This window comes from Homo sapiens, chromosome 11 (genome assembly GCF_000001405.40).
Source record: "Homo sapiens chromosome 11, GRCh38.p14 Primary Assembly".
NCBI lineage: Eukaryota > Metazoa > Chordata > Mammalia > Primates > Hominidae > Homo > Homo sapiens.
This window is the reverse complement of record NC_000011.10, coordinates 29,613,267-29,631,122: the sequence shown is the minus strand read 5'-3', so window position 1 is coordinate 29,631,122 and position 17,856 is coordinate 29,613,267. Positions and strand designations below refer to the sequence as shown.

Here is a 17,856-nt window from a genome sequence, read left to right as displayed (position 1 = left end):
GAATCCCACTGGGATTTTTTTGTGTGTGTGTGTGTGGTGGTTGTTGCAGCCCATTTTATTGTCAGTAGCTCTAGAGAAGTCAACCATACCACTGGGTTCCTGCTTTTCAATATTTCCAGGCAAAGTGGTGATGGGAGAAATCAACCATTTATCCTTTTATCATTACTAATCCCATTTAGTTTAGATCTTGAGTGTCTAATTCCAACAGCCATGTTTCTCCTGAATCCCTCCCTCAACTTTCTTACTTTTCTGCAATGTCACCACTGTCACCACCATTGACTCCAGCTTCAGATTGGTGGGACTTGTTCCAGAAGAATGGCTGTACCTTGAGTATTGCTGCTGTCTTCCTTAGAGCTACCATTCTGCTGAATGACACAATTATTTCTGTGACAGTTAATGGTGTTTTTCCTCCATAATCATTCTTTACTCCACAAAAGATACCTTGTTTTTCTGCTTTATAACTTTCTATAGGAATTTATTCTGTGTTTCCAGGGAAGGGATTGGAGGTATTCTGGTGAGGTGAGGGGTAACATCTTAGGTTGGATACTCAGATTTTGTTACCTATACCACAACTGTGTATCAGGACAAGGCACATTGTTCTTAGTGTGTCCACCCTCCTGGGCTGGCTTTGCCTTCTCAGAGCTCCTTAATTCACTTGTAGGAGTTGAATGAGTCTTCATCTCTTCTTTAGCCAAAGATCTTTTAGTTCATAGTGCCAAGTATGTTCATCCATTTTTGGTCCCTTTAAATGGTCTTACTCTATACAAACAGAAGAGAAGAAAGAAAAAGCTGAGAAAGTTAGCCCACCAGAGTAATTGTTCGGATTTCCCCATTCTAACATTGAGCTCCTCCCAACTCCTCAACCCTCTCCTGGTTCTCTTGCCTAGAAGATACTTTGGGTGTTTTTCTTTAACACTGTCTTTCAGATAAAATCCTGAGAATGACCTACCTAACTTTATACCAGAGAAAAGTAGAAGACAAACTCTCTTCCTTTAGCCCTGTCTTTGAGGATTCTGGTGATCCAGTCAGACCCTCCTGCCTTTCTCCTAGGAAAAAACAAAAACAACCCTCCTCCCCCAACCAAAAAAAAATGGGCTCAGAACCTGAGCTTTAACTCCAGAGTTCCCTTTGCTCTTTCTCCACTGGTCAATCAAAACATGAATTAGGCTCAAAGTAGACTTTCTTCACGGACATAAAGGCAAAGCCTATCCCCAGTAATATCATTGGTCTTGCTTCTGCCTCATGGAACAACACAAACATGCCACCTCTCAGGTATTAAGGCATTGGGCAAAAAAGAAGAGTTAGGGAAAATTCAGCCATGCCTAAGGCGATTCTTGTTTGCCATAATGAGTTACTCAATAGCATTTCGTTATACACTGTAGTCCCCTATTGGAATTTAAAGTTGATATGAAGAACACTGAATGGTTTTGTATTCAGAAAAAGGTTTACTTCCATTGCACTGACAGCAGGCTCATCTCTAGCAGAGACATTTATGGCTGACTGAATTTCCACACGTTAGTCTCAGTTCCCTTACTCCGCATTGTTTTTTGACTTTCTTTGTAATGAGGAGAGGTCAAGTGACTCTGGGCAAGGGCTGTAAATCTGAGTAATGCATATCACCTCTGGACCAAAGCATGTAAGAGTCTGTATGGAAACTGCCTGGATCCTGAGTCACTGCCGCAGCCAGCTTCCCCAGAGTCACTCAACTTGCTGGAAGCAGACTTTACAAGCACAAGAAGCAAGTATTTGTTTTATCATATCACTGAGATTTCAGGCCTATTTTGTTGGCACAACCAAGCCTAGTCACCATGACTAGTATGGCATCTTTGTAATAGTCCTTTAAAAATGTCCATTTGTCTTGTGTAATTGTAATTATGTTCTCTGGAGCCCGACAGCATGCTTCCTAAGAAGGAATGTCAAACCCATCAAAAGTCTTCTCTTTAAAAGCAAAGAACAAGGGGATGTTCTTCAGGGATAGTAGAACTACTGAGTACTCAGGGGCCTGAATCTAGAAGCCTCCTTTTCTCCCACTGTCCTTGCCATATACTCTGGTTCATCTCAGAGCTGCTGCAGCAAAAGGCAAGCTTAGGAGAGAAACAGCATATCCTTAATTCCTGGGCATGCTGAGCCAAGGCTGCTGAAAGTAATGAGAATGCTATATGCTTGATATGGGATCTGGGATTTAAAATCTAACCGACACATATTCTCTGTGGAGACTTCGTGGCTGCAGCCAGTCTTCAGGTTTCAAGCCCTATTTTGCTGCCCATCAGAAACTGCTCTTGCGTGAGAGCTAGACAAGTACTGAATTTTCTACTCAGTTGCTGTCAGTAGTATCTGATAGGTATCTTCCCCCCTCTCTCCTCTCCTCAGGAAGATTTATCAGGCTGTCTTTCTAGTGCTGCCATTAACTAGTTTTTTAGCCTCCCTAGAGAGGGAAAGAAAACCAATGTTTATTTAGCATCTAACACAGGCCACAAAATGTGCTAGTCACTTTTTTTTTTTAAATATGCCCTCTCATTCCTAATAGGCAGTATAGTGACAGCCAGGTAATACAGATTAAAAGGAACAAAGGACTTTGGAGTCTCAGAAATGTTGGTTCAGAACCCCAGGTCTGTATTAGTGGTATGACCCAGAGCTAATCTCACTGAACCTATTGCCATAACTCTCCAAGGAGCTAATCCTACCTCAAACACCACTATTGTGAGAATGAGGTACTTGGTGAAATTGTGTGGTGCTGTCCCTGGCATGTACTAGGGACTCAATAGCAAGCTCCTTAACAAGCCTATGAAAAAGATCTTGCTTCCATTTTACAGAGGAATTATGGCTCATAGACAGTAAATAACTTAGCCTAAATCATGTCATGGGAGAACTGGATGCCAAATTCAGGTCTATCTGATTCTGATTTCAATGCTGCTATGATGGCAGAGTTAAATAGTTATGACAGAGATGCTATAGCTACATATTCAAAATATTTACTGTCTAGCCCTTTAAAGAACTAGTTAGCCATATCCAGAATTGACAGAGTATAGAATCTTTGCATATTAAATAATTCTCATGCATAGAAGACATTCTTCAAGGACTCTACACTAGTTAAACAATGTTTGTGGCAGAGAAAAAAAATTTCATATTTTAATGTGCTTTATATATAAAGAAGGTAAAACATAAGACAATTCAACACGTTGAAATTAATAAACATACAGTTCAACTCCCTAACACATCTGGTTAAGCTATAGAAAGCGAGAGAAAACTTTATTTTATAGATTGATTGTTTTTCCTGTGGGAAAGTGATAACAGGAATGTTACCAGACAGCTTCATGAGCTGTGATCCAGAGGGAATAGTTCCCCATCAACCCCAGGAGGCCTGACTGTGTTTGCTTGGTCATCAAAGACTGGAATATTCTGAGAGGACACAATGTGCTTTAATATAGTGTTGAAGGAAGTGGTAAATTCTAGGACTCTCTGAATTATTTCTATGTAACCACAAACAATTTGATGTTTTACTACAAAAAGCAGGGCATTCTATTTTGATTGAATAAGAATGGTTCTTCATTCCAGGGAGTATTTTACCTCCTGTGTCTTTAATGTCTGCTTGATAAAATCACACATTAAATTATTTAAAACAGCCAAGAACCAATAAGGGACTTGCTGACCTGGCGCTTAAAGCTTAAAAATCTAATTTGCCTTTCCTTCACTGCTAGCAGATCAGACTCAGGTTGAGGGGGATGGAAACTATTGGACATTTTAGAATCATTTTGAAGAGCTGAGACTTGGTTCACTGAATCTCATCTATATCTGAATAGAATGAATTTCATTATTGATGTTATCACAATTGACATTTCCCCAGGTTTTCATCTATTCTATCCCCAGATTCATTACCTTTTTCAAATTGTTAATGTACTAATGTACTGAGTTCTGGCGATTTCCACTGTGATTTTTATCTATACAAGAATTTTCAGAAATGGTGAAGGTTAATCTATCACCAGCTGTTAGGCTAGCCTGGAAGGACAAGCTGGGAGACTTGCTAGAGTATTTGTGCCTTCTTTAAAGATGCCATGCTGTCCTAAAACAATCACATGCATTTTACTTAAAGAAAATAGTTTTATAATTATTGAAGACACTTAGACTTTTCCAAGCAAAGATGGAAGAATAGGAAGTTGGCCATTTTTTCTACAATCAAATTTGTATTCAATGTTTAAAATAAACTTCACCTTTTAATTGTACAGAGAAGTGTGCTGATTATTTGTTTTTCCTTTATTGTTAATTTTAACACCAAAACAATATTTCCTTTTCATTTTCTGTAAACATATAAATATAAGTACTTTGCTATTTTTACGTATAACTTGATGTTTCTGAAGTTGACTTCAAATATAAGTACTTTGCTATATCTAAGTATAATTTGATGTTTCTGAAATATTAAAGGAAGTTTGTTTCACCTAGATTCATTACATCAGAAGGGATAGTTCAACTAAACTCTGTCTCAGTAATGTGGATAGTCACAGTCACATGGTATATAATTAAGGCAAAAATGCTGTATAGCTATTCTGTTCCTCATAATTATTAATATGTTCAATTACCATGGAGTGCTACTAACAGCTCTTAAAATAATCAGCCTGGATTTCAGTAGAAATACTGGATAGGAAAACTGCACTATTTACAAAGTTATCAAGATAACGAGATGCTGGCTCAGGAAATATGATTTCTAAAGTAATTATTTTTACTAGTTGCATGGCCATCACATTTCTTAGCAAATTACGTTTTTTTTTCTTTTTTCTCATCGCAAATTACTTATGATCCTACATGCAGAACTCTATTCCCCTGCCCCGTGCTTCCACCAAATTAAGCACATTATAAATTCTTTGAAGCAAGTACTTTTTAAAAAAATCATTTTTGCCTTTCTGTCAGCTATTATTTACACTTTCTTTTACTATTCTTTTAGTAGTCATTCTGTCTATACTTGTGATTCTCAAAATGTGGCTCGAGATCAGCAGCATCAGCTGTATCAACTGCATCAGCATACCTAGGAACTTGTTGGGAATGCAAATTATCTGGCCCTAGTCCAGACCTATTCCTTCAGAAACTCTGGAGATGGAGCCCAGAAGTCTTTATTTTAAGCCCTGCATGTGAGTATAATGCATGCTGAAGTTTGAGAACCACTCAAACACTATACCACACTTTTTGTCCCCTCTCCTTATTTTATCCTATGTGCTCTATGTTCCTTCCTTGTTTCCTGGTAAAAACAGCATTTTTTTTTCTTGTCCCATCTCAAATGCCATCCTTGTTTTCTCCCTTATCAGAATTCCTTTAAAATAAAAAATATATATTAAAAATTACAAGACATATATCTATGAAACCTTGCTTTATAGTTGTTTGGTAACATCTATTATCTCCTCTCCAATGATACAAGTCCCAGAAGCAAGGCACTATGTCCTTATATTCTATTGGCATGTAGCCCAGTAGCTGGTGTTCAATCAATAACTGACTGCCTGCCACATCTTGTCTCTAACACATACCCTTTACCACTATAGACTTAGTTTTGCCTCTGAAACTTTTTCAATACCGATTCACCTCTTTGCAATATTTTTCACTATCTTTATGCTACGTAATTCTTATTAAGCTCCAATTCTCTCTCTCTTCTCTCAAGAACTTCCCAAAGTTTGTCTGAATTTCTACTTCTAGCTAGGAGATGAATCCACCCATCAAAAACAACAGAAAAAGATGGATAGAGTAATTAAAATACATTGTTTTAAGGCATCAGAGAAATATTAAGGCATCTGCATAGAAGGGTTACATCTCAGAGAAAGGAAAAACATTGTGCTAAGTGAATGGAACATATTACCCTGTCTTTCTGAGAGATTCACTGATGCCTAAGAGTCATGACTCAAGAAGTTGAGATGCTGAGTAGTAAGTTGCTACTAAGAAGCTAAGAAGTTCAAAACAGCTTTTTGACAGTCTCATGCGTTTGTGAATATTTTTTTAAAAATGAAGCTCAGGGCTGCCTAAGCAGCTCATACCTGATGAATCAAGATACAGGACAAAAAGCAAGCACAGAAAAGTGAAGTCGACATCCCAGACTTCTCTCATCTTCATCACATTTGCCAACCATAAGCAACATGGACTTACATATGAAGAAGTCAAGTTAAAGGGGGGTAATTAAGTAGTTAAGCAGATAATTGGAATTTTTGGCAGTCTTACAGGCTATAAACCTAAATGTTGGAGTTTTATTGACTAAGAAGAGGGACCCCGATAACCCAAGCTTTCAGCTGGGGTCCCTGAAAGATTACATCATAGGAGTAAAAGTAAACCAGAGATAGATTAGAACTTACAAAAAAAAAAAAAAAAAAAGACATTCAACTTTGAAATATTTTATACTCTTGGATTAAGGTGACTTATTCTTTGACTTTTAGACATGAAGACTCATCTAGAACTTCTAGAACTACCTTATTTAAAATAAGTGCATTAAAAATTACAAAGCTAACCAAAAGACACAAAAAGATAATACTAATAGAAAAAAAAAGTAAGAGAAATAGTGTCCTTAAAAATAGTTATGATTAATATGTCTAAGAAAGCAGATGGCAAGATGGAGGATGTCACAAGTGAATAGAAATCTTTTTTTTATTTTCCGTTTTGAGACAGGGTCTCATTCTGTCAGCCAGGCTGGAGTGCAGTGGCGTGATCTTGGGTCACTGCAGCCTCCACCTCCATGGCTCAAGGGATTCTCCCAACTCAGCCTCCTGAGTAGCTGGGATTACAGGCATGCACCACCACACCTGGCTAATTTTTACATATTTTATAGAAATGAGGTTTCGCCATATTGCACAGGCTGGTGTTGAACTCCTGGGCTCAGGTGATCTGCCTGCCTTGACCTCCCGAAGAGTGATTACAGGAGTGAGCCACCATGCCTGATCAATAAATATTTTAAATACTAAATAAACATTTGAGACCAAAATATGACATAACTAAAATTAAGAAGGTAAAGATTCTTGAAATACCAGATTTGACAAACCAAAGAGAAGATTAGTTACCTGTAATACAGATTAATAGAACAGAGAAAAAAAATTGATCTGAAACAGAGAAAAAAATTGATCGGAAACACAGAGAAAAAACAAAATACACAAAAGAGCATTAGTGGCATTTAGCATATAGTGAAAAGGCCTAATCTACATGACATTAAAGTACCAGAGGAAAGGAGAAAATGAAGTGAAAATAATATTTGCAAAATGAAGAAAGATAATTTCCCAAAAATAATAAAAAAGAACCTTTAACTCAAAAACTAAAGAAGTTCTATAAACCTCAGTCGGGGTAAAGCTATGGAAAACAAAGACAGTGATAAAATCTTAAAGCAGCCAGAGGAAAAGTTATCTTGCTACCAAAGGAGTAACCATAAGAATTATAGCTTATTAGTCAACAGAAATGACGAATGCTGGAAGAAAATAAAAAGGCATTTCTAAAATCCTAAAATAAACTAACTATAAGAGCAGAATTTGATGCCATGCAGGATAGTATTTTGAAAATTAAGAATAAATAAAGCTGTTTCCAGATAAAAATAAATAAATCTTACAGAAATAATTGAAAACAGATCTACACTTTAATACTGACATGGTCTTCGAGGAGGAGGAGGTAATTCCAAAGGGAAAAACAGAAATGCAGAAAGGAATCAGAAGTAGCATAGTGGGAGGTTGAATCCCCCTACTACTAAGGTGGGTTTCAGTTTGGTTGTTACTGTGGTTGCTCTCAGTGCACCACATTCCTCAAATTCCTCCAGGCATCCTCTCCGTGGGGGATGGGTTGGTAGAAGGTAATTCTCAAAGTTTCTGTTACACTGCGATTGGCCAAGACTTAGCTATAATTACAGGCGCATACTCTTAAGTTGGGTTTTCAGTCTTGTTTTCCTGTTAAGCTAGGTTGCAGTTAGTCCACAAGGACTCAAATATAGAAGTCCTTCTCAGGCCATATTCAGTTTGCTTGTTTCTGTTATACTGCAATTGGCCAAGACTCAGCTATAATTACAGGCACATACTCCTAAATTGGGTTTTCAATCTTGTTTACCTGTTAAGCTAGGTTGCAGTTAGTCCACAAGGACTCAAATATAGAAATCCTTCTCAGGCCATATTTATTTGCTTTAACAGTGGGAAAATTCTGTCGTTACGGCTCAGCCTCAGTCTTAGTGCCCCTGAGTTTGTGGGGTGAAGCTTTCTCAGTAATCTTGTACTTGTCCCGGGGTTAGAGTTTTGCTGTTCTTCATTTCTCCAACCACAGTTGATCTTCACTAGTGTTCACATTTGGCCTCCAATAATTTGATAAATGTTTCAGCTGCATTCTTTTCATCCACTTTCAAGGCGATTATATCTTGGTCTGTGCTATGTGTGCCCTAGGTAATCAAGTACTCATGTTTGTTACTTCTGGGAGGCACCTATCTTTTCTCAGGTGTTAAGCTTGTTGGTTGCTCTGTTGTATGTTGTTATATATTATTATTATGACACTAATATCACTGCAAAAGGGAAAATACAATTAAGGAAATTAAGGCATTTTAAGATCCCTATAATGTCCAGAAATCAGTATATCCATGCTTCTGCTACTATATGTCTAGATAAAATAAGCAGTAAAATACATTGATCAGTATTCTGTCCAAAGGAAAAATATCCTTTCACTACTGTATTTTTAGAGACACTTATGCTTGGGTTGTAGGACTCTACTAGATGAATTGAATTTCAGTTGGCACTGGCATATAATGCAAAATTATCTGTAGAGTATACCTGAGGTTTTTCTCTTTAACTGGCGGTAAGCAACTCTTCATGATACTATGAGAATAAATTAGTGGAGCTAAGACAGTGCAACAGGGATAGATTTCTAGTAGCATGAGTCTCTTAGTCATTAACATTACTTGCGTTTTCTGTGTCTACCTGAGCTCCACACATTTCTACCTGAGCTTCCATACATTTTACATACAATTCTTATGTGATGATTTCTAATGCTGTGCATGCCCAGCCTTAGAGGTTTGGCAGGTAAGAAAACACTCAGGTAATTGTGGGTATGGAGGGTGATGTAGTTTGGATGTGTGTCCCCACCCAAATCTCATATTGAAATCTAATTCCCAGTGTTGAAGGTGGGGCCTAGTGGGAGGTGATTGGATTATAGTGGTAGATTTCTCATGAATGGTTTATTACCATCCCCCTTGGTACTATCTTCACAATACTTAATGAAATTTTTCTGTGTGTACCTGTGTGTGTGAGTTCTGGTCATTTAAAAGTCCATAGCACCTTCTCCCTCTCTTGCTTGCTCCTGCTCTGGCCATGTAACATACCTGCTCCCCCTTGGCCTTCCACCATGACAGTGAGTTTTCTGAGGCCTCCCCAGAAACGGAGCAGATGTTAGCATCATGCTTCCTGTATAGCCTGCAGAACCATGAGCCATTTAAATATCTTCTTTTAATATAAGTTACACAGTCTCAGGTATTTTTTATAGCAATGTGGGAATAGACTAATACAGAGAGAAAAAACTAAGTAATGTGTGTATCACTCCAAATGACTGCAGACTCTATTAAATGAGTCTGTTTAAAATGTTTGTGTAATTAAAATATATGACAATAATACACAAGAGGATAGAGAAGGGATAAACAGACCTTAAGTTGTTTAACGACCTTATGTATTATATTAAACTCTAATAAGTCAAAGATACATATTTAATCTGTAGGGCAGTGATTTTCAAATTTTAGAGTTGTTTAGAATTATATGAAGGGCTTCTTCAAAGTGTGCTATATACCACCCTCAAAGTTTCTCATTTAACTTTTTGAGTGGTGGGGTGGGGTCAAAAGTTTGCATTCCTGCTAAAAGTTGCAGATGCAATTTTTTTTAAGAAGACACTTTGAAAACTACTTCTGTAAGGTAAACTATTGAAGTAGTGGTAAAATAATATGTAGTGTATAGCTAGTAGAACAGAAAATACACTAAAAAGAATAATAGTAATAATAATAATAATAGGCCTGACTACTCCAAAGTGAGCAAGAAAGGAGAGAAAGAACATAATATGAATGAGTCAAGGACAAATCAAATTGTGACAAGGTAAATTTAAATCCCTAGGAACTACATTTTATTTAGAAAGACTATTCTAATTAAAATGCAAAAATTATAATATTGAATAAATTATGAAATGAAATTTACAGAGATAAGGTAAAAAATGTTGAAAATAGATATAAAAAAGTTTTACACAAATATTAACCAAAGAAAACTGTGTGAATATGTTTATATCAGATGCAGTAGTCATTAAGGCATGATGCATTTATTAAAGATAAAAAGATTGTTTTCATATTGATAAAAGGTCAGTTTGTCCGTAGAACATAACAACTATAAATTTTTATGCACATTATAAAACCTACAGATATACAAATGAGACATTGTCAGAACTAACTGGGAAATAGAAAAATCTAAAATCAGATTTGGAAGTGGGGCATGGTGGTTCACATCTATAATCCCAGCACTTTGGGAAGCCAAGGTGGGCAGATCACTTGAGTTCAGGAGTTCAAGACTAGCCTGGGCAGCATGAGGAAACACGGTCTCTACCCAAAAAAAAAAAAAAAAAAAAAAAAAAAAAAAAAAAAAATTAGCCAGGCATGATGGTGCATGCCATTGGTCCCAGCTAATTGGGAGGCTGAGGTGGGAGAAAGCTTGAGCCCAAGAAGCAGAGGTTGCAGTGAGCTGAGATGGCACCACTGCACACCAGCCTGGGTGAAAGAGTGAGACCCCATCTCTAATAGAAAAAAAAAAAAAATCAGAGTTGGAGAGCTAACAGGTCTCTCAGTATCTGACAGTACAAATAATCCAAAATATCAACAATGATTTAGAAGATCTGAAAAGCATGATTAGCAAACTTTACCATGTATAAATAGAAACAACAAAACCTGTAACTGCAGAATGCAGTATACATTGTTTTTAATTGAATACTCATCAGAACTGATTATGTGCTGGCCATTAATGAAGTTTCAACAGATTTTAGTGGATTGAAATGATTTAAAAGTGTATTATCTGGCTATTGTGAAACTGATCTAGAAATGGCTTTAAAAATCTAACTAGAGCATTGCAGTTTTTTTCCTGGCTTATGGCTGCATAAGTTCAGTCTGCTTCCTCCTTCACATGGTCTTCTTTCTGTCTTTTCTTCTGTTACTTAAGGATACTTGTCATTGGATTTAGGAGCTCACCTGGATAACCTAAGATGATATCATTTTGAGATCCTTAATTAATTACTTCTGTCCAAACAAAGTCACTTTTAAAGAGTTTAAGATATGAAAGTATTTTGGGGAGTCATCTTTCAACCACTACAAAGATTATAAAGTTCTAGCAAGGCTGATGAAAAACAACCAAAAATAATAAGGTACAAATTACCAACATCAGGAATGTAAAAAAACATCATTGCAGATCCTTAAAATATTACAAAGATAAGAAGAGGATATTATTAACTACTATATGCTGATATTTGAAAAGTTTGATGAAATGGAAAAAAATTCTTTGGAAAACATTACTTACCCAAACTGGTATAAATGATGTAAAAAGAAATTGAAATACGTTTAGTCCTATATCTTTGGGGACATTTAATTTTGTAATTAAAATCTCTAACAAAAAGAAATCTCCAAGTGCTTGTGGCTTCAAGGGCCATTTCCCCTCCAAGTATTTAATGAAAGAAATAGTTCTAATCTTACTCAAATACACACAGAGATTAGAAAAAGTAGGAAACAGCTCTTGTTTTGTGAGGCCAGCATACTCTTAGTATTATTGCAAAAAGATACTTACATGACAATTTTTCATGATAAAAAATGCAAAAAAACTGCAACAGAATATTAAGAAATTGAATCTGTATAGGTAGTAAAAGGATAATGAATAATGTCTGACTTCATTATATTCCAAACTATATTACAGAAATGCAATTACTTAACATTCAAACAATAAAATTCATAACTTTTAGAAATAAAGTAGAAAATTCCTATGGTCATCTCACTAGGTATAAAAAAGTTATAATATTCAATACTCATTAGTGCTGAACAAATTGGGTGTGAAAGCAAACTTTCTGATAAAGAGTATCTACAAAATATCTATAGCAAACATCATTTGAATGAAAATAGTAAAAGATTTACCACAGAGATTAGGTAGGTAGCAAAAATATTTGCTCCCATTGTTCTTATTCAACTTTATCCTGGAGGCCTTAGCCAGTGCAATAAGATAAAAAAGTAAACTAAGGCATAAAGATTGAAAAGAGCAAAAATTGTCATTATTTACCAATGAAAGTTTTGTACACATGTGTCATGGACTTATGTTCTCCCCAAATTCAGATACTGAAGCCCTAACACCCAACATGACTATATTTGGAGATAGGGGCTTTGAGAAGGTAATTAAGATTCAATGAGGTCATAATGGTGGGGCCCTGAAGAAGAGACACCAGAGCCATTTGTTCACTCTGTCTCTCTCTACATGCATGGAGAGGACAGGCCGCATGAGGACATAGAAAGCAGGCAGTTGTCTCCAAGCCAGGAGGCTCACTAGAAAGAAACCAGGGCTGCCCCTTAATCTTGGAGACTTTCAGTTTCCAGTGCATGAAAAAATAAATTTTTGTTGTTTAAACCACCTAGTCTGTGGTATTTTGTTATGGCAGCTCAAACAGACTAATCAGCATGGAAAATCTAAAAGGCTCTACAGAAGTAGTAATTGAATTCGGTAAAATTGCATGACATTACACCAATATACAAAAATCACTTTCATACTGATAGACCAAAAGCAGAAACTCATGAATATTTTAAAATGATACCATTGGTAATAGTACCTGAAATACGAAATACCTAGAAATATGTATAATATAGGAATTATAAATGTGTAAACAAAAAACTACAAAATATTAAAGAAGTCATAAAGGGGTATATACCATGTTCAAGTATTAGGAGTCTCATTATTATTACCACAAAAATAAGACTTCTTATCAAACATCTAAAGATTCAGTGTAATCATAATAAAACAATTTGTCATATTTTGATAGAAATTTAAAAGCTGATCCTAAAATATATTTGGGAATGCCAAGGGCCAGGAATTGCTAAGAAAATTAAGAGAGTTTGAGATATCAATACTTATGAAGGCTTAATAATTAAGATGTGTAACTTAGGCAAGTAGACCAATTGATCAAAATAAAAAATGTAGATATAGTCCACATGTATATAGTCACTTGATCTATGATAAAGGTGGGATTTCTGCACAATGAGTAAAAAATGGTCTTTTCAATAAATGATTAGAAGTCAACTAGATATGCATAAGAAAAGACTGACTCTTGATCCTTATTTCACGCCATACACAAAAGTATATTTCTTTAGAATGAGTGTATATATGTGTATATATACACATATATGTATACACATGTATGTGTATATATACACATATATGTCTACATATATGTGTATACATATATGTGTATATATACACATATATATACACATATATACACATACATATACACATATACACATATATATACACACATATATATGTGTGTATATACACATATATATACACACATATATATACGTATATATATATATGCACACACACACGTACACATACATACAAATATATCTTGGGGGGGATGTAGAAACAATAAAGTTTCTAGAAGTTAATATAGAAAAATATTTTAACATTATTAGGGTATACAAATACTCAGAGCACATAAAAAGAAACCATAAAGGAAAAATTGTTAACTCAGGCCACATAGGAATAAAAATTTTTGGACTTCAGAATATACCATTGAGAAAGTAAAAAGGCAAGAAACAGGGTAGAAAAGATATTTTAATACGTACATATGAATAAAAACACATATCCAAATTATTTTTTTAAATGCCTCTAAATACTAAGATAAGGACAGAAAACTCAATAGAAAGGTAAGTAAAAAGAGTTGAAGAGGCATTTCACAAAGTTATCCACATGGCTGGTAAGCATAATGAAAGGATTTTATCCTCATTACCCAAAAGGGAAAGATAACACAGCAAGTTACTCTTACATCCCTGAAATAATGGCTAAAATTAAACAGTTGAATAATACTAATTATTGGCTGAGATGTGAAGCATATTATGCACTTGTTAGTAGGGCACAAATTATTAGGATTGCTGTAGAAAACCATTTGGTAGTATGAAAATTGTCAGAATCAAATGGAGCCACTTGTATCAAAACCCTGAAAAATGGGAACAGGCAAGGCCATGAAGGGAGGATTCTCATGCAAGTATGCCTGGTAATAGGAACTTTCACAGAAGACTACATAAACCACAACATTGCACAAATGCCACAGCAACCCTTACACACACAAAAAAATGCTTCTATGAGGACATCTGCCCAGCAACTGCCTGTTCAAACTTGGACTGACCTCAAACTTGTTATTAATCCTTACAGCCAAGGATAATTGTTTCAAAACAACTCATGTAACTCTCCTCATTTTTCCTTTAAAAACTCTTGTCTTCCTTTACCTCCCTGAATGTACCCATTATATTCCCACTGCAATGCTCAATCCCAAATAAATATCATTTTCTTTTAGACAGCCACTTTGTTATTTGGGCTTTACAGTAGTATATACTAAAGCCAAACAAGCTCCTGCCATGTTTTCCAACTTATCTCCCCCACTAAGCATATCTCCAATAGAAATGTAGTCATATGGGCAACAAAATACATGCACGAACATTTTTATTGAAGCCGTCTTTGTAGTAGCTAAAGCCTGGAAACAACTCATATGCCCATATAATAGACTAGAAAAATAAATAGTGCTATGTCATATAATGAAATAACATACAACAATGAAAATGAACAAATTGCTTCTCATTACACCACCACCTATGAATCTACAAACACAATGTTGAATGAAAGAAACCTGATACAAACCAAAAAGACAAAACTAATCTACGATGATGGAGATAAAAACAGTAGTTACTTTTGGGGAAAAGGGATAGTGACTTGGAGGAAGGTCAAGAAGTTTTATGAGATGCTGGTAATACTCTCTTTTCTGATCTGAATGATAATTAAATGGATGTATTAATTTTGTCAAGACTTATCGAGCCCGTATATTTAAAATGTGTGTAGTTTTGTGTGTATGTTATACCTCTATATAAAATGATGATGACTTCATCCTTTTCAGGACATCTAGTACAATTTGGGATTCATTAATTTGTCCAATATTTATTGAGCATCTGCAGTACACCAAAACACTGAGCTAGGCCTAGGATTTACAGTTGTGAATAAAATGTAGTCTTTACCTTCATGGAGCTTATATAGCTTTATTTGTAGTTTTCTGTAGTACACCCATATAAAATTGGCATGGTTAAACAAAAGCCATTATATAGCTGAAACAAGATGCTAATGTCTTCAACTCATGTACAGTTAAAATGATATTCATAATAGAGCCTGCATAACAGTTAAGATAGCTATCATTATCTTGAAGTGGATATCCTTCATCTGCCCCTCTGATCAATTTTCCAGTTTTCTCCTCTGCATCAGGAATCCGATTTGTATGGACTACATCAGGTATCTGTAAACTGTTGCCTCATTAGGTAACTAAGGTTTTATTGACACAGTAACACCCATCATTTACATAATGTCATTGGCTGTTTTCAAGAGACCATGACTTGCATGTCAAAAGTATTTACTATCTGACTCTTTACAGAAAATAAATTACTGAACTCTGGACTGCGGTAGGCGTCCTTTGCCTTCAAAGTTCCAGTTTCATTGGTCAATGGAGAACAGAGCTAGAGATTAGAAGAAGAGGAAAAACTGAGGTCTATGCAAGGTCTCCTTGAGCTAAAATGTCCCTCCATCAAAGTTCTTAGCTCTTCTTAAGGCAATTCTCTCTTAATCTCTTCCTCTGGGTCAGGTACCTCCATACACCTTCATTTTTTCCCATATAGTGATGGTAATATCTCTGCACTATCTCTTGTAGTTAACAAACAGCTCTGCACTTTTTGCATATTGTCCCTTTATTGAATCTTCCTCAAATTATTCTAAACTGTATGAGCCATATGTTTCCCAATAGTATACTAGCTGATAATTTATTAAGCACTTACTCCTTGCCAGGCACTGTGTTAAGAGCTTAATTTCATCATGTAATTTAAACCTGATAAAATAACTCTTGTGAGGTAGAATTATTATCATTCCTTTTTTACAAATGAGGCAGCCAGTGTTGAAGTTTGGAGACTTTACAAAGTTCACACAGCTAATGAGAAGCAGACAGTCCTAGGACTTGAATTCAGTGCTGTTGATGAGAACCTCTAGAACTGAATATCATAACCATTCTCAATAATCTTTGTTTTATAATTTTCATGATAATCCCTTATTACCTTGGTGCTTAAATTAAAAAATAATTCTTAACTATGACTTCATTTAATTATTACCCTAACAGTAGATCTGAAAGTATTTTCCTATTATTACAGACAAATAGAGGCCAATGCATTTTAAATGACTTTCTCAAAAATACTAGAGGATACAATTTAATCTAGCCAAGGGTCATGCCCCTAGATTCCATACTATATATGACTGTATAATCATCCTTTATCAAATGCATATACTCATCTGTTTTAAATGATACTTGGAATGGCACTTATACCACTGAGTTATCATCTGGGTACAGTAATGTGATGAAAATGTGGTAGATATTATGTTTTCAAGACAGAGAGGTGGACGGTTAGGAGAAAAAGCTGTGGCTGAAAAAAATAAAATGTTTAGCCTGTTTTCCTAGTCCTAGAGTATTACAAATTAATTGATTCAAACCAAATATGAGAAGTAGAGAAGAAATGTCCTTCCATGCTGCTGGGAGTTGATTGATGAGGAGCAATGTCTCAGCCAAGTTGCCAACTGATTTCTGTCTAACCCTTGGTTTCCTATAGTTCACAGAGTCCTAAGCCAAGAGTCAGCCTTGAGTTGCTGCTAGAGACCACAGATACTCTGAATTCCAACTTTAATTGGCCTTCTGAGAAGACAAAGAGCCACAGGTCCCCAACAGGTCCTAGCTACTTCCTTCAGTCCCAAGGTAGGGCACTCTATGGATTTCAATAAAAGCTCCTCCTGTTTGTCCATGAACACACTTTATGTTACCAGATTCATGTTGTGGGCACAGATGCTACTAGTTGCCTCTTCCACATTTAGAGAATGTATATTTTGAGAAGATCTGTTAAAAGCAAATACACAAATCCCTAGTCTTATTTGTTTTGTTCAGTGTAAAGATGGTACTTTTTAAAAAGAACTGACTTCTCTTAAGACAAAACCTCAGGTTATATGTGAGTGTGTGTGTGGTGTGTGGATGCGTGTGTATGTGTGTGTACCTATGTGTATTTAAATCCTTTATCTTTGATCATATCCTCCCTACCAGACCCATTTTTCCTGGGATTTGGGTGGAGTGGGAGAGGTGGGGAGAGCATCTGTTTTGAGCAGCCATTTGCGAAGACAACATTCTACCTAACCACGTGACAGGCAGCCTTTTGTCATGTATCCATGCCAATAACTAATGAGGAAAACACATTTATGTGTTAGTTTAAATCCTGGAATGGATCAGTTCAATCATGGTAGATAGTTGTAACATCAACATTGTATCTCCCACCATGTATGATGAGTAAATGAATGTCAATTTTGGGTCCCCCCAAAAAATGCTAGAAACATTCTACTTTTGTCTCTGGAGAGGTCTTATTTCCAGGACTTACTAAAATGCTATATTTTTACCTATTTCTATTGAGTTTATATATTTCCAGTGGAACTCGCCAGTTGGCCCATCAAAAAGTCCAACAGCCTGTCTGCCTGCCAGCTGATCAGTCAGGCAAAAATTCAGGTAGTTCAGGGGCAAGAAGCTCAGTCTGTATCTGGA

The 17,856-nt window shown here is 35.9% G+C and overlaps 1 long non-coding RNA gene across 2 annotated transcripts in view; it reads right to left on the bottom strand.

The window, feature by feature from the left end:
* Positions 1-446: 446 nt before the first annotated feature.
* Positions 447-17,856, bottom strand: part of LINC02546 (long intergenic non-protein coding RNA 2546) — a 36,264-nt gene continuing 18,854 nt past the window's right edge. Inside the window, exons 1-3 of one of the 2 annotated variants that reach the window (NR_149106.1) lie at positions 12,264-12,321; positions 8,047-8,488; positions 447-759 (exon numbers count right to left, since the gene is read on the bottom strand). This is a non-coding gene — a long non-coding RNA (long intergenic non-protein coding RNA 2546). Of the gene's footprint in view, positions 760-8,046; positions 8,489-12,263; positions 12,322-17,856 lie in introns of those variants that run through there. The other variant, NR_149107.1, reaches the window with a different exon arrangement.